The sequence below is a fragment of the Homo sapiens genome, chromosome 2, assembly GCF_000001405.40.
Source record: "Homo sapiens chromosome 2, GRCh38.p14 Primary Assembly".
Lineage (NCBI taxonomy): Eukaryota > Metazoa > Chordata > Mammalia > Primates > Hominidae > Homo > Homo sapiens.
Genome location: NC_000002.12, coordinates 210,145,849 through 210,168,546, shown reverse-complemented (window position 1 = coordinate 210,168,546; position 22,698 = coordinate 210,145,849). Strand labels below are relative to the sequence as shown.

At 34.6% G+C, this 22,698-nt stretch overlaps 1 protein-coding gene across 17 annotated transcripts in view; it reads left to right on the top strand.

Annotated features, from left to right (window-relative positions):
- Window positions 1-22,698, top strand: part of KANSL1L (KAT8 regulatory NSL complex subunit 1 like) — a 151,340-nt gene that overhangs the window by 4,214 nt on the left and 124,428 nt on the right. For 15 of the 17 annotated variants that reach the window (XM_047443489.1, NM_001307976.2, NM_152519.4 and 12 more), the window contains exon 2: window positions 13,936-15,052. In XM_047443489.1, coding sequence (XP_047299445.1) covers window positions 13,936-15,052 — 1,117 coding nt within the window. Of the gene's footprint in view, window positions 1-13,311; window positions 13,354-13,373; window positions 13,396-13,935; window positions 15,053-22,698 lie in introns of those variants that run through there. The other 2 variants (XM_005246329.5, XM_017003430.2) reach the window with 2 other exon arrangements.

Sequence of the window (22,698 nt, the reverse complement as noted above, 5' to 3'; positions counted from 1 at the left end):
CAATGTAGTTTCACTTGTAGCTTTTACTGTGTTTGACAAAAAATGATGCCTGCTATCTGAAGTTCCTTTATTATTGAGATGGTTCTTGGTAGCTCACTTCTTATTGCCTATAGGATCCTTTATGCCCTTTAATCTACCACATAAATCTTATAAATAATATGTAATCCTTGTTTTCATGATGTTTTTCATGTATTCAGATAATCTCTCCATACCCTTATTTTGTCTATATAGTATTAGATGGTAGTTGAAGGAGGCAGAGAGCTGCTTTCTTCAGGTATAGAATTATGCTTAGGGTTGTTTACTGATTGGGTTCATCAAGATACAAACAGAAAGGAATGGGGCTGCTTGCAGCAGGAGTGACATTTATTGGACAATTAGCAACTAATTTACTAATTTTAAAGCATATCTCTCATATCGCTATCCTTAAAGCTGATACTGCATTATAGTACTTTAATGGAATAATTTACATCATGATGACCCTGAATCATAAATACAATCTTACATTACTTTTAGTATGTTCCATTTAGAAAGGCAAGGAAGATATATAATTTCCAAGAGATTTCTACCTTTCTTTTTCTTTTAAATGTTGTTTTATGGGGACTTTTCACTGAATTGTACTCCTTATTCCCTAATCATGTGGGATAAACACCCAGCAAATGTTAATAAAAACGGTACTATTAAACTTGCCAGTAGATAGTCTATAATAAAAATCCAAAGACTATTCATAATGGAAATTTTAAATACTTGATGTTATTTTTAGGTTCTTAGAAACATTTCTGTATGGACGTGAAAATTCATTAATAATATTGAGACTTTGTTAATATTCTAAAAATATTTATGAACTTTTTGTTTATTTTATATAATATTGAGGCTTTGTTTCCAGTCCAAGACAATTCTCAAGTGTGTTGTTTTTATTTAAACAAATTTTTATTCAGCAGTAGGTCATTAATCAGTGTTTATTCATGTGAAGTTAAATTGAAGCTAAAGTATATAGACTGAGCAAATGTGATAGTGTACTTCTACATGTAGATTTTTGGATCCAAATCGATATACACAGAAAAAAATGACTATGAGTCATGCACTTACAAGTGAAAAGTAATAATTCTGCTTGAAGTATGATCTGTTTGATGTGTTATGTAGCCACCCAAGTGGCTTTATCTTTAATTAAATTCCTTTAGTCTTCAAAGAGAATTCCTTTTTAGGCATAGTTTTCAAAGTGGAAGAAGTTCTTGCTTATAAAACATCATTGAATATAAAGTACTGAGCTGACTGAATCCTAGTTATGCCAGTTATTGCAGTGTTTACTGCAGTAAATTGAGAATTCCTGTAAAGTGGCATGAAGAAATCTTGAAAACAACACTGTATTTTGTATTCCTACTTTCCATTAATTCCTGTATTTTTGAGGAATAAAACTGTACCAGTGTGAGCTCATTCTTTTTTTGTTTGTTTAATTGGACTTTTCCCTGCTACAATTCAGTAACTTTGAATCCTCATATATTTTTTATTTATTTATTTTTAAATTTTTGTAGAGACAGTGTCTCTCTGTCACCCAGGCTGAAATGCAGTGGCACGACTGTACTCCTCTAGTCTCCTTATAGTCTAGAGATAATGTTTAAAAACTTCTCATATTTTGCTAAAAGAATTTGTCTTTTTTCTACTCTTTCTTTCTGTAATTGGCCTAGGTTAGCTATATGAAACATTTAGGTCACAAGTGTGGAAATAATTTATTATTTGACCCTACTTCAGGGTTCTCCCCTCTCTCAAAATACTGTTGGTAGTCTTTTCACTTTATTTAAGCATCAAGTATAAATCTGCTGTCTTTCTGATAATGTTTTCCTAGTTTGTTTCTTTGCTCTGCATTTAAGAGAGCTGGGATTATCCAGATTCCAGTTAAAAGAATAAATTTAATGTTCAGGGGCAGATTTGGATAGGATATTTTCCATGGCATATATGGAATATATGTATGCATTCTAGAATATAAATCAGAATCTGGAGCAGTATTTTAGGGGATAGGAATTCAGATTTGGCCTTTAATCTTTAATGCACATTCTCAGGAGGAAGAGTGGTTCTTATATAGATTATCAGTTTCAACTCTGAGCGTTGAGATTAGATTAGCAAATTTTTTATTTTTCTTTAGAAAGTTTGTCAAAAATTTTTTGAAATATGTGACCTATGTATTAATTTGTAAAGGTCTGATTATTAACTGTCTGGACCAACTCAGTAACTATTGACTTGGTAATTATCTCACTGTGTACATGCACCTTTTGAGGATGATGGCTTTTACTGTATTTCATGATGTCCAAGGGATCAGATTGCATTTAATTAATGCTAAATTCATAAATATGTATGGTTTAGAAATCTTAAAAAATATAGATTAAACTCCTAATGGAAAGTCTGGAGACAACAGGGCAAGACCTTTTATTTGTAGTACAGTAGTCCATCTTTATTTTTGGGGTATATGTTTCAGATCCCCAGTGGTACCTGAAATCGCAGACAGTACTTAACCCTATATATACTTTATTTTTTTCTAACCATACATACATATGATCAAGTTGAATTTATGAATTAGGCATAGTAAAAGATTAGCAACAACAGTAGTAGAACAGTTATAACTATACATAAAAGTTATGTGAATGTGCTCTTCTTGCTCGCTCTCAAAATATCTTACCTTACTGTACTCACCTGTTTTTGGACTGCAGTTGACCACAGGTTACTCGAACCATGGAAGTGAAACAGCTGATAAGGGGAGACTACTGTTACACAATTTCAGAACAACTAATAGTAACTCATGCTTTCCTTAACTCACAATGAACGTTCTTTGGATTAAATTGTAGACCCAAAATTAGAATTTATGGTATAGATTTAACTTTACAGTCTACCTATTGTTTTTATCAGATTAACTTAATTTTATTTATAATAATTTCAGAGCAACTAATAGCAACTAATGCCTTAATTCACAGTGATTGTTCTTTGGATTAAATTGTAGTCTAAAAATTAGAATTTATGGTGTAGATTTAACTTTACAATCCCCCCTTGTTTTTATTAGATTAATTTTATTTATAACAAATTTAATATAACCAAAAACAAAAAAATTGATTCTTTCTAGTTTTAAAAAATGTTTATTATTTAAAAACATAAGCTTTGTCTTGTCTTACTGAAATTCTCTCTGGTGTTTTTTAATAAGACTTCTTAAAAAAACCGGAGATACACTGAGTTTGGAATTGCTTACTGGAGGATTATTTACTTGATAGACTATCTGTAACAGTTTTATAACAGACTGGTTTTTGTTTTGTTTTGCCATCCATAACATTTCTGGGCTGCTGATGTGCTAAGGAATTTTTTTTGTTTTTTGTTTTTTGGTTTTTTTTTTAGTAAAATTGGAATGTAAGTTGAAAATTCTGTTGTAAAAACGTAAAAGTATGCCAGTGCTTTGGTGGGCAGATCACGAGGTCAGGAGTTCGAGACCAGCCTGGCCAACATGGTGAAACCCCATCTCTACTAAAGATACAAAAAATTAGCTGGGCATGGTGGCATGCATCTGTAATCCCAGCTACTTGGGAGGCTGGGGCAGGAGAATCGCTTGAACCCAGGAAGCGGAAGTTGCAGTGAGCTGAGATTGTGCCATTGCACTCCAGCCTAGGTGGCGGGGCGAGACTCCATCTCAAAACAAAAAAAAACAAAAAAAAAAAAACAGAAAAAATAAAAGTAAAATTTATACCCAAGAAACATAGTTGGTTTTTGGATTATCTAGAACTGTTACCTATTGACAGAATCAAGATTATGTATCTAGTTGCTTTCTTTGAAAGAGGACTGATATATTTTCATAACTTAGTTTTGCTTCTTAAATTCTGTAAGTTTGATATTTTCATTTCTGTGTGTTGTGACAAAAAGTTTAATTCTTTTTTCCAGTTTTCTTCCTTCTAGGTTCTTCGAAGTTCTGCATCATTAGACTAAATTCTTTTAGAAAAGGGACCTCTTGTTCCTAAGTATCTTGGGTGTATATGAAAGAAATAATCATCAAAGATGATGGTGGTGCCTAGAGTAATATAATAAAGTATTTTAGTAGTTGTAAAGACATTTCTTAGATTTAGCAAGGATCCAAATACTCCTGCCCAATTATGTGTATAATTGGAAACCTAAATAATTAGAAACTGAGTATTTATAGGAAGATCCAGGTGCTTTTTAGAAAGCTATTTGAGGATTTATTTTCCATAAACTTTCCATAAAGCCTAGAATACTATAGGTGCCTAAAAATATTAAACAATAGATTTGGCCAAAAAATTGGGGGACTGAAATATAGTAGTCGATAGTTGATCCCTGGTTACAAGACTTGGCACACATACAGAGGAATAGAAAATAGCTTATCAAGATGTTTATGTATTGATTACATGTTGATATATGATACTTTATATATATGATGACATTAAATTTAATTTTTCATGTTTCTTTTAAAAATATGTCTAGTAGTAGCAAGTTTAAAATTACATATGTAGCCACTTCATATTTCTATTGGACAGTTACATTCTATACTAATGTTTCCTAATTTTTTTGCCTTGAGACTCCTTCACAATAAAATATATCTCATGAACCTTCTTCCTTGAAATTTTAAAATAATTTTACCATTTTGGATAGTATTTGTTCAAGAAATATTTATTATGAGCCTGCTATGTGCCATAAAATATTCTAGAATACGATGATGAGTGAACACATAACACCTGCCTTCATGTAGCTTTTGATCTATTTGGGGAAAATATGTGATGAAGTAATTTCTAGTAAAAATTTTTAAATGGATCATTTGTTATAAGTATACTATTGTATATAAAATTTCATGTAATATAATTTTATATATTTCTTCATTTATTAAGTGATAGTTTGGTGTTCTCTGAGCTTCCTGGATATGTGGTTTGGTGTCTGACATTAATTTGGAGAAATTCTTAGTCATTATTGTTTCAATTTTCTTTTCTTTTTCTCTTCTCCTTCTGGTATTCCCATTATGCATATGTTACACCATTTGTAATTGTCCCACAGTTCTTGGTTGGATAGTCTCTTCTTCCTCAAACCCCCTGCCATCTTTGTTCTCTTTCCTTTTTAGTTTTGGAGGTTTCTATTGCTGTATCTTCAAGCTTAGTGCTACTTTCTTCCACCACATCCAGTCTGCTACTAAGCCCATCAAAGACATTATTTTTGTTGCAGTGTTTTTGATTTCTAGCATTTCATTTTTATTCTCTTTTTAGAATTTCCATCTCTCTTCTTACATTACCTGTCATTTGTTGCATGTTGTCTGTTTTTTCCATTAGAGGCCTTAGCATATTAATCATAGTTGTTTTAAATTCCTGGTCTAGTAATTCCATCATTCTTGCCATATCTAAATCTGGTTCTGATGCTTGCTGTCTCTTCAAACTATGTTGTTTGCCCTTTAGTGTGCCTTGTCGTTTTCTCTTGAAAGCTGAACATGATGTGCTGAGTAAAAGGAACTCTAGTAAATAGGCTTTTAATAAGATGTAAGGATAGAAAAGATGTTCTGTATTCCAGTGATAAGGTCTGTCTTTCAATGAGCCTGTGCCCTGGGCTGTGAACTTCACTAGTGCTTCTCAGTTTTTCCCTGCTTAGGTAGGATAGAATGGCTAGAGGCTGCTGGAGTTGGATATTTAGTTAATATGTAACCTTTTAAAAGCAATACATTCCTTAAAAAGTAATATCGGCTTTGCTATCTTCATCTGCTTGACCTGTTTAGCATTTGACAGAACTGACCATGTTATACACTTCTAAACACGTTGGTATCTTGATTTCATACACTTCTGGATTTCCTCCTATCTCGATGATCTTTTCAGTTTTCTTTTAGCGTCCTTCCTCTTTTATAGCTCCTCTTCCTTTGCTCAAGTAAATGTGAGTAAACCCCCACGTTTTGTCCTGGGCTCCTTTCTCTTTGCTTATACCCACTCCCTAGGGTAAATACTATTTATATGCCAGTGACTCTGCAAAATAATCTCTCTAATTATGAATTCTTGCTTGAACTCCAGACTTGTTTTTATAGCTGTTTCCACTTGAATGTTTAAAAGACACTTAAAAAGTAACATATCCAAAACAGAAATTTTTATTTTTTTCTTCTTCAACTTTCTTCCTCCCCAAGTCTGCTCCCTTAGGTCAGAAAATAGCACCACTGACCACCCAGTTGCTCAAGCTAAAAACCTAGGAGTCATCCTTGATTCCTTCCTTTCCCTTAATTCCTGTTAAGTCTTTGTCAAGCATTGTTGACTCTGTCTTGAAACAAGTTCTTTAATTTTTTAATTTTTATTGATATACATATATATATATATATATATACCTGAACCACTAAATTTGGGGGTAATATATTAGACAGTAATAAATAATGAATACACTTGGATATGAAGACCAATTCTTCATATCAGCTGGATACGTCCAATTAGTTTTGGATAAAAATATATGTGTGTGTGTGTATATATATATATTTTTTTTTTTTTTAAATAGAGACAGGGTCTCACCATATTACGCAGGCTGGTCTCAAACTCCTGGGCTCAAGTGATCCTCCCGCCTTGGCCTCCCAAAATACTAGGATCACAGGCATGAGCCACCATGCATACCCATCATCTACCCCATAAATATATACACCATCTTTGTACCCACAAACTTTAAAATAAAAATTTTAAAAAATTTTTATGCTTTTCAAATCAGTATTCCTCCTTACTCATTTTGCCTTGAACAAATTGTTTACTATCTGTATAAATGAAATAATACCTAAAAAAATAAATAAAATTTAAAGCTATGTCATGGTCAAAACCACTATTCAGCATTAATCTGAATGATAAACTCAGTGACTTTCAGTAATATGTACATCTAATTTCTACGAACTCTTGAACACATTATCTTCTGAATATATATGTCAGAGGTTCCCAACAGTTCTATTTTAAATAATTATTTTAAAAAGTTTATTTAGTATTTAATTTTTAGGAAGTCCAATTTAGCAACTTTTTGTGAATAATGCTTTTGGTGTCATATCTAAAAAAAGCTTTGCCTAAAGCAGTGTCACAAACATTTTTTCTAGAAGTTGTATAGTTACAGGTTTTACATTTAGGCTCATGATTCATTCTGATAGGTCTGACCATTTTTATATAAGGTATGAAATACGTATTCAGTTTCATTTTTTTTTCCCTATGGATGTCCAATTAGTTTAGAATGATATGATTTAAGAAACAAGGTTTCTACATTTAATTGCCTTGCTATCTTTGTCAAAATAATCAGGCCAGGCGCAGTGGCTCACCCCTGTAATCCTAGCACTTTGGGAGGCTGAGGTAGGCAGATCACCTGAGGTCAGGAGTTTAAGACCAGCCTGGCCAACATGGTGAAACCCCATCTCTACAAAAATACAAAAATTAGCCGGGCATGATGGCGGGTACCTGTAATCCCAGCTACTTGGGAGGCTGAGGCGGGAGAATCACTTCAACCTGGGAGGCGGAGGTTGCGGTGAGCCGAGATCACGCCATTGCACTCCAGCCTGGGCGACAGAGTGAAACTCCGTCTCAAAAAAAAAAAAAAAAAAAAATTGGCCGTATGTGCGTGGGTCTGTTCCTGAGCTCTGTTTTTTTCCATATATGTGTTCATCCTTTTGCTAATGCCACACTGTCTTGTCTACTAGAAATTGGTAAGTTGTGTGAATCCTTCAACTTTGTTCTTTTCCAAATTGTTTTGGCTATTCTGGTTCCTTTAACTTTCATATAAATCTTTGAATTAGCTTGTAGATATCAGCAAAATGTCCTGCCAAGATTTTGTATCTAAACTTATAAATCAGTTTGAGGAGAATTAGCATCATAACAATATTGAATAGTTTTATCTGTGAACATAGTGTAATGCACTATTTAGGTCTTGATATTTTTATGGGTGTTTTGTATTTTTCAGTATAAAGACCATGTGCATCATCTTGTGTTTAGATTTATACCAAAGCATTTTTGCAGGTGTTGGAATTATTACTGTTTAAAAATTTCTATTTCTAGTTTTTTATTTCTAGCATATAGAAATATAAATGAGTTTTGTAGGTTGACCTTGTGTTTGCTGCCTTATTAAATTCATTAGTCGAGGAGTTCAATCCCTTGGGATTTTCTATGTAGAAAATCACGTCATCTGTGAATAGAGACAGTTTTACTTACTTTCTAATCTGTGCTTTTTATTTCTTTTTTTTTTCTTGCTCTACAGCACTAACTAGGTCCTCCAGTACAACATTGAGTATGAGTGGTGAGAAATGTCTACCTTGCCTCATTCCCAGTCTTAGGGCAGAAACATTCAGTCTTTCACCATTAATTATGATGTGAGCTATAGGCATTTGTGTACATGCTTTTTATCAGATTAAAGACATTCCCTCTCCTTCCTAATTTGCTGAGTTTTTCTCATGAATGGATATTGAATTTTGTCAAATGCTTTTTCTCCATTTATTGACATCATATGGTTTCTCTTTAGTCTATTGATATGGTGAATTTTAGTTATTGTTTTCTTTTTTTTGAGACGGAGTCTCGCTCTGTCACCCAGGCTGGAGTGCAGTGGCGTGATCTCGGCTCACTGCAAGCTCCACCTCCCGGGTTCACACCATTCTCCTGCCTCAGCCTCCCGAATAGCTGGGACTACAGGTGCCCACCGCCACACCCAGCTATTTTTTTTGTATTTTTAGTAGAGACGGGGTTTCACCTTTTTAGTCAGGATGGTCTCGATCCGCCTGCCTCGGCCTCCCAAAGTGCTGGGATTATAGGCGTGAGCCACCGCGCCCGGCCTGTTGTTTTCTTTAATGTTGAACCAGTCTTGTGTTCATGAAATAAGCCATACTTGAACATAGTATCCTTTCTATATTTTGTTGTTTTGTACAATTAAAAAATAGTAATTGAAATAGGTGTTGTTACTACTTGTGAGTACCAAAATCCTGAAATGCCTTTAAATATCATGATCAATTAATTTATGAATTTAGTCAACAAATACATGATAATTACTGTGTGCCAGGCATTATTCTAGTGCTGGAGATTAGATCATTGAGTTCTTGCACTTAAACTACATTCTTTCCTAGAATGTAATATAATGTCAGGTGGCAATAGTGCTATGAAGAGCAATAAAGCAGTGTAAGGGAATGGAGAGTCATGAACCAAGAGGCTGAAGCTATTTAAAATATATTGGTCAGGGAAGGACTCTGATGAGGTGACCTTAGAGCAGAAGTAAATGAAGTGAGGGAGCCAGCCATCTTATTTGTAAAAAATTGTTTCAGGCTGAGAGAATAGCAAACACAAAGTCACTGTGTCAAGAGACTTGCTTGGTGTGTTTCAAATACAGCATAGAGGCCGGTGTTTCTGGAGTGCAGTAATTCATGGAAAGAGTTGTAGAAGGCAAAGTAGTCAGGAACCTGATAATACCAATTTTGTAGGCTATCGTAAGGACAACTTTGGATTTTAAATATACTGGCAACCACTCATTTTCTCACCAGGTTATTTGTTGCGCATCTTCTGTATGTCAAATAGATTTGCATGTTGAGGATACAGTAGTTAACAAAACTGTTCAAAAATCCAAGCCTTTAATAGAGCTTAGAAGTGTTAGTGATAAGTGTAGTTGTTTATATAATATGGAGGTCGTCAGAAGTGGTAGTTTAGAATATTCAGTTGGGAAACATTGTTATGTAAAATGATTATATATCTAGATAATTTAAATAATTGGAAGAAATGTACTTATATTTTGTGCTAAAACTATACTGAACATAATTTAATCTTTTTTATTTATAGGAGACATAGCTATTTTCATTAGTTTCTTTTGGTTGCAAAGTAGAGAGACTTACTTAGGCTAGGTTTTTTTTTTTTTTTATAAGGATACACTTGGGAATAGAATACAGAAGGACTTAATGGAAATCCCTGAATAAGAGCTATGATATGTCCCGGACTTTCATAGACTAGAGCTTAAAAGTCTTCATATCCAAGTGTATTCATTATTTATTACTGTGTAGTATATTACCCCCAAATTTAGTGGCTTAAATTACGTGTTATTTCATAATTGCTGTGGGTCAAGAATGTAGGCATGTAAGCTTAGCTGGGTGCCTCTGGCTCAAGGTCTCTCATAAGGCTGTTGTTAATCAAGGTGTTGGCTAGGGCAACAGTCATCTAAAGGCATTACTGGGAAGGATCTGTTTCTCAGATCACTCACATGGCTGTTAGCAGGCCTCAGATTCTTTGCTATATGTTGGTTGGAGACATCATTTCTATACCATGTGGGTCTTTCTAGCTCATAACATGGCAGCTGGCTTCCCTGAATAAGAGAGGGTGGCCAGATGGAAGCCACAGTCTCTTTGTTACCTAATCTCAGAAGTCATCTTATCACCTCTGCTACATTTTCATTAAAAGTGAGTTACTAAATCCAGTCCCTGTTCTAGGAGAGGATTAAACAAGGGCATGAATACGAAGAGGGTGGGGATTATTAAGGTTATTTTGGAAGCTACCTGTCCTACCGGTAAGCCCTAGAGATCTCACCCAGAGATTTTGTATATATGTTTTATTCTAGTTCTCTACCATAAATGGGCCTTAGCCACTTTTAATCTTTGCATTTTTTCCCTTTCTCTTTTTGCTACGAATTGTATTTCTTAAATACTAATCTGCTTTCTTTTTTTTTGACAGGGTCTTGCTCTGTCACTCAAGCTGGAGTGCAATGGCACTATCATTTTTTTGCAGAGCCTGGATTTCATCATGTTGCCCAGGCTGGTCTGGAAGTCCTGGGCTCAAACGATCCACCTCTTAGGCCTCCCAGAGTGCTGGGATTATAGGCATGAGCCACTGTGCCCAGCCATGTGTATCTTTTTTTTTTTTTTTTTTTTTTTTTTTTTCTGTGACAGTGTTTTGCTCTGTTGCTCAGGCTGGAGGGCAGTGGTGCAATCACAGCTCACTGCAGCTTCAACGTCCAGGCTCAAGTGATCTTCCTGCCTTAGCCTCTCAAGTAGCTGGGACCACTGGCACATGTCGCCACACCTAGGACATTTTTTAGTATTTGTAGAGAAGTCTCCTTATGTTGCCCAGGCTGGTCTCGAACTCCAGGGCTCCAGCAATCCTTCACCTTGACTTCCCAAAGTGCTTGTATTACAGGCATGAGCCACTGCACCCACGTCTTTTCTCTACTTGTTATATTTAGCTTTTCCGTATCTTTATCCAGAGACTAAGATGAATTTTCCTGCCTTGTGATATTTCACCTTCTGTCTCTGCTGCTCGCTAGTTTGGTTATATTCATAGTACGCTGTTCAGATTTTTGAGAGGGACAGGTGTGTGGTGTGGGAGATAAAGTTTAGTATCTTTTGAGGAGTGCTGTAACATCAACAAGAAGCGTGATTAAAGCAGTTTCCCTCAGAGAACAATGTAGACACTAAATACTATTGTGGGTGTTTATTGATTAGAAGACATAGGTCTTTGAGTTGGTCAAGTAACAACTTGAATCTTGGAAGAAATTTCCTAATGCTAGCTTGTTTTAGAATTGTTTTTCTATTTCCATAAAAGAGTATAAACTGAAAAAAACCATCTTTTTTTTCTTTTTTTTTTTGCATTTAGGATAAATGGGAATCTATTTGCTTATTTTTGAGGCATTATATAAAAGTGTATAAATTTTGAGACATACAGAAACTCATATAGAAATTACATTTTGAGACATTATACAATAAAGTGTATACATAAAAAGGCAAACATCTATAATTTTTTTCACTCAGTATTAACCATTAACATTTATTCATTTTGCATTTAGTCTTTTCCCCTCAAGTAATAAGATTTTGTAGTTAAAATGCAAATCCCCTTGAACTATCACTTTTAGTTCTGTTTCATGGAACTTAACTTGATGCAACTACTAGTACAAGTTTGGTAGGTATTTTTCTGGTTCACTTTTTATTCTTGCAAACAGACACAAATGTATACGTATATATGGTATGGTTTTGTGTTTGTGTTATATTTATATGGTACTATACTATATATATATTTTACAGTGTTCTTTTTTATTTTTAACTTGATACTGTTTTTAAGGTCTTTCTGTATTGATACTTTAAGTCATTCCTTTTTAATGGCAATATAGTATTCCATCACATTTTATTCTCTGTTTTGTTATTGTTAGACATCTAGATTGTTTTGAAAGGATGTTTTGCCATTATGAACATTACCCTTTGGTAAAAATGTGTTTGACAAACACATTTTCTACATTGTGGTCAAATTACTGAACCAATTTATGATCCCAATAGATATGAGAAGTCTTACATCTCATGATATGTATGTGATGTTTTCAGAAAAAAAAAATTTTTATCAGTTTGGTGATTGGAAAACTAGGCTCTTGTTTTGTTAATCTATATTCCTCTCATTACTAGTATGATTAAGTCTGTGTTTAATGACCATTTGGATGTCATCATCTGTGAAGTACCTGACTGCTCTATCTTTTGCTCATTTGTAGGAATTCCTCCTATAGTCTAGATAACTAATATTTGTCTGATATATATGTTGCAAATATTTTCTCCTAGTCTGTCATTTTGCTAGTAACCGTTTTTTTAATTACATAGAAATTGTTGTGCTTTTATTTTCTTCTTGATCATTTTTGTTGGACTTTGTAAAGAATCAGCTTTTGGTTTTGTGTTTTTAAGTAGGAATAAAGGAAGTAGAGTTATAACTAGCACCTGGGGACATACACTATGAGAGTGTGCCATTTAAATGACTATCAACTATTATGTGTTGAAACAAAAATTTTGGCATATCAGGTTACAAAATACTAGGTATCTTTAAAAGCTTATAATTGTTAATGACATAAAATTATTTTACAAACTATTCAGCCTTCATAATGTTTAAGGGTACTGGGTTGCCTTTTTCTGCGAATCAATATATGGATTTATACTTTTGATAATATGCAATGAAATTTGTTTAATTATGGGATAAATCTTTAGCGGTTATCTGACACTGTCTCCGCTATTTTCTAGGCAGGAGTAAATGCATATTCTGATGCATATTCATTTGTGAAAAGGGTAAAATTGCAGATACGTTTAGAGGAGACATTGCATTAGGCAAGTTTTTACTATCACATATTTTTAACAGCTGTGAAGTTATATGTTTTTAGTTCTGTTCACTTAGGTCATCTTTTTCTTTTCTTTGAGACAGAGTCTTACTCTGTCATGCAGGCTGGAGTGCATTGGCGTGATCTCTGCTTACTGCAACCTCTGCCTCCTGGGTTGAAGTGATTCTCCTGCCTCAGCCTCCTAAGTAGCTGGGATTACAGTTGCCCACCACCATGCCCGGCTAATTTTTATATTTTTAGTAGAGACAGAGTTTCACCATGTTGGCCATGCTGATCTCGAACTCCTGATCTCAGGTGATCCGCCTACCTCGGCACCCCAAAGTACTGGGATTACAGGTGTGAGCCACCACGTCCGGCCTCACTTAGGTCTTCTTACACATTATTTATTATATTTTAGTTCTTGTTATTAATACCGTTCAGGCTGTGATGATTAATTTCAGGAATAGAAGTTTAGATAAATTTATTATATTTTATAAAGATAAGCAATTCTTATTTTTGGCTGAAAGTACACAATTGAGTCACATTTTCTATTGTTATTACCAGATTATAGGCTGGATTTTTTTTTTTCTTTTGACTGTAATTAAATGTTGTCAAAAAATAGAATTCTGAGATGTAATTACATCCACAAATATTTGTTGAACACCTATTATGTGCTAGCAATGTGTAGCTTTAATTGGGGTTTTAGCTATTAGGCCCCCAGTCAGAGGGAAGAATAGCTTAATCTTTGTTGAAATAATGTTGGGAGTTGGGAGATGAAGGAGGAGTTTTGTTCCTTCATGTTCTAATCAGAAACATTGAACATGTTGCCCTTAGAAAAAAGTATAAGCATAAAATTTTTTTCTAGATATTTGACCATTTATTTTTACATTATTGTAGGTTTCCAATACTTATCTACAGGAATCGCCATGACCCCAGCTCTGAGGGAGGCAACAGCAAAGGGTATCAGCTTTTCATCTTTGCCAAGTACCATGGAGTCTGACAAGATGCTCTACATGGAAAGTCCCAGAACTGTAGATGAAAAGCTAAAGGGAGACACCTTTTCTCAGATGCTTGGATTTCCAACTCCTGAACCTACTCTTAATACTAATTTTGTGAATTTAAAACATTTTGGCTCCCCTCAGTCTTCAAAACATTACCAGACTGTTTTTTTAATGAGATCTAATTCTACATTAAATAAACACAATGAGAATTATAAACAAAAGAAATTAGGGGAGCCCAGTTGCAATAAGCTGAAAAACATACTGTATAATGGCAGCAACATTCAGCTCAGTAAAATCTGTCTTTCTCATTCTGAAGAGTTCATCAAAAAGGAGCCTCTATCAGATACCACGAGCCAGTGCATGAAAGATGTACAAATTATTCTGGATTCAAATATAACCAAAGACACTAATGTAGATAAAGTACAACTACAAAACTGTAAATGGTATCAAGAGAATGCACTTTTGGATAAAGTTACTGATGCTGAGATTAAAAAGGGTTTATTGCACTGTACTCAAAAGAAAATTGTACCTGGCCACTCAAATGTGCCTGTTAGTTCTTCAGCTGCTGAAAAAGAGGAGGAAGTACATGCTCGTTTACTTCATTGTGTAAGCAAACAGAAAATTTTACTTAGCCAGGCTAGAAGAACTCAGAAACATTTGCAGATGCTCCTGGCAAAGCATGTTGTTAAGCACTATGGTCAGCAGATGAAATTGTCTATGAAACATCAACTCCCCAAAATGAAGACATTTCATGAACCTACCACAATTTTGGGTAATAGTTTACCTAAATGCACTGAAATTAAGCCAGAAGTTAACACATTGACTGCAGAGAATAAATTGTGGGATGATGCAAAAAATGGCTTTGCACGGTGTACAGCTGCGGAAATCCAAAGATTTGCATTTTCTGCTACAGGGCTGTTGTCTCATGTTGAAGAGGGTTTGGATTCCGATGCAACTGATAGCAGCTCTGATGACGATTTGGATGAATATACCCTTAGAAAAAATGTGGCAGTGTAAGTGCAAAATTATTATTAGACTATTTTCTGTTCCATATATAGCAGCAATTATCTTAGTTTCCAGGTATGTTGACAAGAAATAGATTTTCTAAAATCTTAATGCTATAATCTTTTTTTTTTTTTTTAATTTTTATTTTTGAGACAGAGTCTCGCTCTGTCGCCCAGGCTGGAGTGTAGTGGTGCAATCCTGGCTCACTGCAACCTCCGCCTCCCGGGTTCAAACAATTTTCCTGCTTTAGCTTCCTGAGTAGCTGGGATTACAGGTGTGTGCCACCACACCCAGCTAATTTTTGTATTTTTCGTAGAGGCAAGGTTTCACCATGTTGGTCAGGCTGGTCTCGAACTCCTGACCTTGTGATCCACCCGCCTCGGCCTCCCAAAGTGCTGGGATTAGAGGCGTGAGCCACCACATCCAGCCACCATAATCTTTTATGTTATAAAACTTTTGTTGAATTTTTTTAATGTTTTGTTTGTTAAATTATTGTGTGTGAGTATATACATACTATTTAAAAATAAATTTACTCAACTTTTCTATCTAGGAAAAACCCATACAGGAATAATGAAATTATTGAGCTATAAATAAGCATATTTTCTATTCTTGAATAGGCTGTGGACAAGGCCTAATCTTTGTTTAAGTGATCTAGTTAATATGTGTATCTAACTAAAAAACTTTAGTCTGCACATAGGGAGCCCTCATTGTCTTTGGGAGTGTATCAGTTGAGAGTACATGTAAGTTGACTTACTACTTTTTTTCCTTAACTCTCTACTCGTACTCATAGCTTTCAGAACTGACCTTTAACAATTCAGTTAGTTTTTGCTAGCTTAGTATAACTAAAACAAAACTATAATGTCAGCTGTAAGATATCTATTGAATGCTTATTATGTGCTAGACACTAAGATTCAGTTGTGAGCAACATATTCACAACCTCTGCCTTTTGGGGCATGTACTTGAGAGAGAGGTATCTCGATATTGAATAATAAAAAGCAGAGAAAAATAGTTTCAGTTATCACACCGTGATAACACTACAGACCAACTCTGTCCAATAGAAACTTCTGAGATGTTGGAAATCTTTTATGTCTATGCCATCTAATAGGCACTAGACTTATGTGGATATTTAACACTTAAGATTTGGCCAGTGATACTAAGGAAATGAGATTTTAATTTTATTTAATTGACTAAATTTTAGTTGAAATGGTCAGATAAAGCATAATTTTTAATTTAGTTTTCAGGGGATCTATTACTGTCCCCAAATTGATGTGAATTATTGTTTGTATATATAGCATTTTGGGGGAAAGAAGTCTGTCACACATGGATACATACAGGGGCACAACACTCACTGGGGCTTTTTAAAGGGTGCAGGGTGGGAGGAGGGAGAGGATCAGGAAAAATAACTAATGGGCACTAGGCTTAAAACCTGGGTGATGAAATAATCTGTATAACAAACCTGCATGACACAGATTTATCTATGTAACAAACCTGCACTTGTACCCCTGAACTTAAAAGTTAAAAATAAACTTTTTCAAATTCTCAAAAATAAATGAGAATTACAGAATTAGAAGCCAAACACATTGATATTTACTATGAAATAGAAGATCAGTATATTAGTTTTTATAGTGAGAAATAAAATATAAAGCAAAGTAAGCATTCGGGTCTTCTAGTGTTCTGATATCACTGTAATTGAAATTTGTTTGCATGTGGAATTTATAGTAGTTAATAAGCGCAGATTATTTTTCTGGCTGGCATTGTGCTAGTTATTTAACATATGATATCTCATTTAATTCTTTCAACAACCCTAGCAGGTAGTTGTTATCCTTATTTCACTTAAGAAGAAACAGACTCAGCATGGGTTAAATAATTTACCAATGGTTAAAAAGCCAAGTAAGGGGCAGAAACAGGATTTTGCTCATATATATGACTCTAAACACATACTTATTCTCTTGTAATATGCTGTTTTCTCAACATTGCATCACTGATACTTAGAGCTACAAGAATTATTAGGTACATGTGTTCTGAAAGAAGTCTGAAAATTTACCAATTTTTGTATATACAATGCTTGTGAAGTATTTAAATAAAATGTAGTGGGCACATTCAGTAAATTTTTTTGTTGTTGAGAAGAGCTAATGGAAAGATTTGTCTTTTTTAAGCTAGAAACAAGAATAAGAAACTTTTGGGCAGGGCTTGGTGGCTCACGCCTGTAATCCCAGCACTTTCGGAGGCCCAGGTGGCCAGATTGCTTGAACCCAGAAGTTCGAGACCAGCCTGGGCAACATGGCAAAACCTCATCTATACAAAAAATATAATACAAAAATTAGCCCGGCATGGTGGTGTGCACCTGTAGTCCCAGCTACCTGGGAGGCTAAGGCAGGAGAATTGCTTGAACCCAGGAGGTGGAGGTTGCAGTGAGCCCGTATCACCCCCTTGCACTCCAGTCTGTGTGACGGGAGTAAAACTCATATCAAAAAAAGGAAGAAAATTTTGTCTTTTCAGACTGTTTTGAACTATGTTATTTTCATTAGTAGTCTCTTCATTGATTTCCTATAATGCTTAGTCTGCCATACAGTTTGTCATTAAATTGTGTTTTGTCCTATGCAGTTGGCTAATATATCTGTTAGTCTTAACCAACCAACCCCTATTAAGGGTAGATACCACACTTTGCACTTTCTGATAATTTCTTTTTTTCTTTTTCTTTTTTCTTTTTTTTTTTTTTTAAGATGGAGTTTTGCTCTTGTTGCCCACGCTGGAGTGCAATGGCACGATCTCGGCTCACTGCAACCTCCACGTCCTGGGTTCAAGCGATTCTCCTGCTTCAGCCTCCCAAGTAGCTGGGATTACAGGTGTGCACCACCACGCCCAGCTAATTTTGTATTTTTAGTAGAGATAGGGTTTCTCCATGTTGGTCAAGCTGGTCTCAAGCTCTTGACCTCAGGTAATCTGCTGACCTTGGCCTCCCAAAGTGCTGGGATTACAGGCATGAGCCACCGCACCCAGCCAACTTTCTGATAATTTCTTCTCAAAGGCATGTCAATTTTGATTTTTCAAAACATTTTAAGATTTACATTTATTTCTTGAATTTAGTGAGGAAACACTAAGTTTAGAAATTTGTGTAAAACATATACAGAAATGGTGAAATTCAAATGATAGAAAAAAAATTTTTTTTTACTAAATAACGTACCTCCTATTTTTCACCAACTCTGCCAGTTTATTGAGGTAAACTGAAGGAAAGTAACCTGGAAAAAATTGGGTTCTGGTTTGAAAAGTTTATTTCTCCTGCTGTCTTTCTTTTTCCCATAATCAGCTAGAGGGGATTCAGAGACTGTAGACATAAATTTTAAGAAAATAATGTATCTAAGAAATTTAATATCAGTTCATTAAGGTAGGCTTCTGGCCTCTTGCATTATTGGCCTCTTAATATTATGATTAATGCCTTGGTTATTAAAGCCCCACCTGCATTTTAGAGGTCACATAAACTTTGTTTTAAGGTTAAACTCATCTGATCTATACAAATCAATAATACTAAATTTATGTAACAGCTCTTTATATTTTTTATTTCACTGAATTATTTGATAATTGTTTTGGTTTTTTTTTTTGGTTTTTCTTTAATACTTGAAATCTATTCAACATTTCTTGATTTCATATATCTTCCCATACATTAAATACAAAATGTTGTTTTGAATATTTTTGCTAACACTAATAGATTTCTTGTGGGAAAGACTGTACTCAACATTATATTAATTTTGAAATTGACTAAATATTGAGAGCAAATGACATAACTTTATTTGTATCTTTTGGTGTGAATATAAAAACAGTTTCTGCTTTTTAAAATTAGAATTAATCAGTTCTATCTTAGGTCATTAAATACATTTTTAAATTTAAAATATCCTTATAAGTTTATTTTAAGTTTATTTTTGTTATTTTCTTCTCTACGTTTGTGAAAAGATTTTTCAAATCTAGATGAGTATTTTTAATGTATAAAGTTCAGAGTGAAACTTTAAACATAAAATACCAAATAAACAGATGCATTTTTTGGTTCTAAATTTTTAATAAGTGCTAACACAAATTTTCATTGTCTTTATTGAATATGTTGATTTCTTACCTTAAATTATAAGTCCAGAGTAGTAAATACTAAAGTTGACTTCAACTTAATTTTAAGCAACATGAGTATTAGTGTACTACTCTTTTATCGTATAGGCTAGTATTGTCTTCTGTTTAATGATTGCTTGGTATTTGTTGAGTGAGTGAATGACTATTTCTGTGTTTGTATATGTAGTTGTAAAGACATAAACATTGAGGCTAGCAATCTGAAATTTCTCTCTTCTATATATGGTTTTTAAAAATTTCATTGTGGAGTTGCATTGTGTTTACTTGATGTTTTTTCCATTCCTTCCTTTGTTTCTAATATTAAATGGGCCACAAGATGTATCTTGTACGTCATAGACCCCCTCCCCCCATGAATGTTCAATGACTGAATAAATGAAATATACCAAAATATGGACATTTAAAAGTAATGATTTTATTATAATTTTCAGTGTTTGTAATTTTTAAAGTTGATAAGTAAAATGCATTATATTTACCTTAAAATTTTAGATTATATTAATATTATATGCCTTCTATTTTTCTTTGAGTTAGTAGCCCTGATAGGAAAAATTGATCAGGAAGTTAGCTGTGAAGGAATATAATTGTTTTAGAAAATTGGAAAGTATTCACATTAGTCATTACAATTACCATTCTTGTTTTAAATATATATTTCGCTTGACTTTGTTACTTTTCCTCCAAAAATGTAGTAGGCAATAAATTAGTTCATAATGATATTACTAATTGACTTTAATTCATAATGATATTACTAACGGACTTTAATAATAACTTTTGGTTGAGAGGCTAGTATGCATTTGAAGTAAAAGAAAGTCACTTTTCCTTTGGAAAGCATAATAGAGGGACTTTATGTTTTTTGTAGATTTAAGATATAGTCCTTCCACTGTAAGATGAATGGATTTTTGCCTCCAATGTTCTTTTTATTTGGTGAAGGAGCCCAGTCAGGTCCATGAACACTGAACTGGTTAAATGTGAGGGGATGTGGGTGAGTCGCTGACAAAAGTTGGCTACAGTTACGTTATTTCTCATCTGGTGGTAGAGCCATAGAATTCTAGCATTTCTTTTCTTCTTTTCCTGGGGAATGATGATCAGTTACATTTTTCCAGGCTGCATTTTGGGGAAACACAGATTTTGACACAGACATGTTTTAATTCTCCAAGGGTTGTGGAAAAGGAAGAAATAATGCTGCTTGTCTTATTCCAGGAAACCTACCAATATCTTCCAGATCACACAATTGTTTCAAATGTTGGGGAAAAAAAATCCCACTATTTCCCTAAATTGGTCAGCATATATTCAAATTTTCTTTAAGTTTTTACTTAGATATGTAAATAAGCAGACTTGATTAAGGGAATTCTTTTCAACAGATTAAGGCATTCACCAAAGAAAAAAGGGGAATTGTTGATGTTTAGTAAGGGCTGTTGGGTGACTCCAGATTAAAAAATAGAAAATAATTAAGTTTTTGCAGACCCATAGAAATGAATACTCATGGTTTTGTGCTTGCTTTCCTGCTTTGCCAATGGAAAGGAAAAGAACTGAAAAGCAAGGTGATCCAGTATTTCCCTTTGAGGAACTGGATAAATAGGAGTAGAAACTCAGTGCCAAGATTCAAAGGGCAAAGAGACTGAAAACATTTCATTATTAATTGCAAACAAGAGTAACTTAATATTTGTATAATGTGGAGTTTGCAGGTTGTTTTTCTATTTGTTATCTTTTTTTATTCCCTGCATGTCTGACATAGATGAGAGAAGTTGAATTTTGTTTTGTTTATAAGGAAAACAAAAAGTTGAGTGAATTCTAGGGAATTTGCAAATTATACTTAAATGAAGAACCTTTTCCTTTCTGTGGGAGAAGTGGAATGGAAGTAAAGGGCAGAAATTCAAAAGTGTAATTGTGAACAGACTAGTAGCTAAAAATGGTAAAGAAATATTTTATTTTTATTTTTATTTTTAGGGAAAAGGTCTCACTCTGTTGCCCAGGCTGGAGTACAGTGGCATAGTCATAGCTCACTGCAGTCTGAACTCTTCAGCTCAAGGGATCCTTCCTGCCTGAGTAGCTAGGACTACAGATATGTGCCATCATGTTTGGCTAAGTATTAAAATTTTTTTGTAGAGACAAGGTTTAGCTATGTTGCCCAGGATGGTCTTGAATTCCTGGCCTTAAGCTATCTTCCTGCCTTGGCCTCCCAAATTGCTGGTATCACAGCATGAGCGACCATGCCCAAGCAAGAAATATTGTCTACTGTGGCATGTGGACATCTTTGAGGGAAGTAGTACTTCAATTAAAATAAGCTCATTTGTTTTTAAAAAGGCTTTTTTTTGAGCAACGTGATGTTTAAAAGACTATGTGTTTACTAGATTTTCTCTCAGTGTTGTTAGTTAATGGCAAAGCTGGGATTTTAGCCCAGATCCTTTAACTCCCATTTAAGCTGTACTTCTATATCTACAGACTTTAGCTGGCTTAGGCCAAAGTTAAATTGACTGAGTCATTTTCAACATCCACGTAACGAAAAGAAAAAAAAGCTGTTTTGTTTTCAAAGGAAAAATTAAGATATTATTATAAAGTTGAAGTTTTTAATGAAAAAAGCATCAGATTGCTTGTATATGTATGAATTTCTTTAAATCTTGCTATAAATCAGTGAATCACAATCCTCTCTTCTTCACCCCAACACATCTGAGGATGATCAAGTAAATAACTGTTTTGATTGCCTTGATTCTCACAGAATCAGGTGGAGAAACTCATCCTCTTGGACCATATTGCTTAGAAAACTCTACAGGTGATCATAACATAATTTTCTTCGAGACTTCTATATAATATGTGTCACTTAAAAGTTCTACATAACCTTTATTTAAAAATAAACCACCTTCATAGATGAAACAAACTGGCATTTATGTCCTATATGGAGAAACCAGAATAGTAAAGCCCTTTTGCAGAAGTTATGCAAGTGTTAATTGTATTTATCATCGGAAACGATCACCTTTGTTTTCCTAATTTTGACAAGAAAGCACAGCTAAGCTGAGTGATAGAAGCAAGATAGTCGAGTAGGAGATACCAGTCTTCACTCCCGAACAAAAAACAAGAACTAGATATCTTTCCATGAATGAAAGTAGCCTTGGGAGGGCTCAAATGTTTAAGTATGAATTTGTAGCAACATAGTGGAGTGAACAAACAAAAATCCAGAGGATAACTGCACAGAAAGGATAGCTGGGGAGACTGGCATACCTGAGACATCTGGAGATGGCTAGAAACAAAGAAGGGTGGGGGCTACCGGTATCAGGCAAATGGTAGGTGCTACCATAGTCACCACTGACCACAACATCAGTATCTTTTGCCATTGAGGTGATCAACAGTCATCACCACTGTGGATCCCCAAAGAGGAGGATGTGGTTGCACCCTCTACCCCCACCACCACCACCAAGAAGGAGCTGCCTTTCCAGGACTGGGACCACCACCCTCCCAATCCTGACATGAGCCCCAGACTCCAGAGCTTCCACTGCCCCATACATGTCCACACACCAGGCCTTGGCTCCATGGCCGCATACCCACATTGCAGACT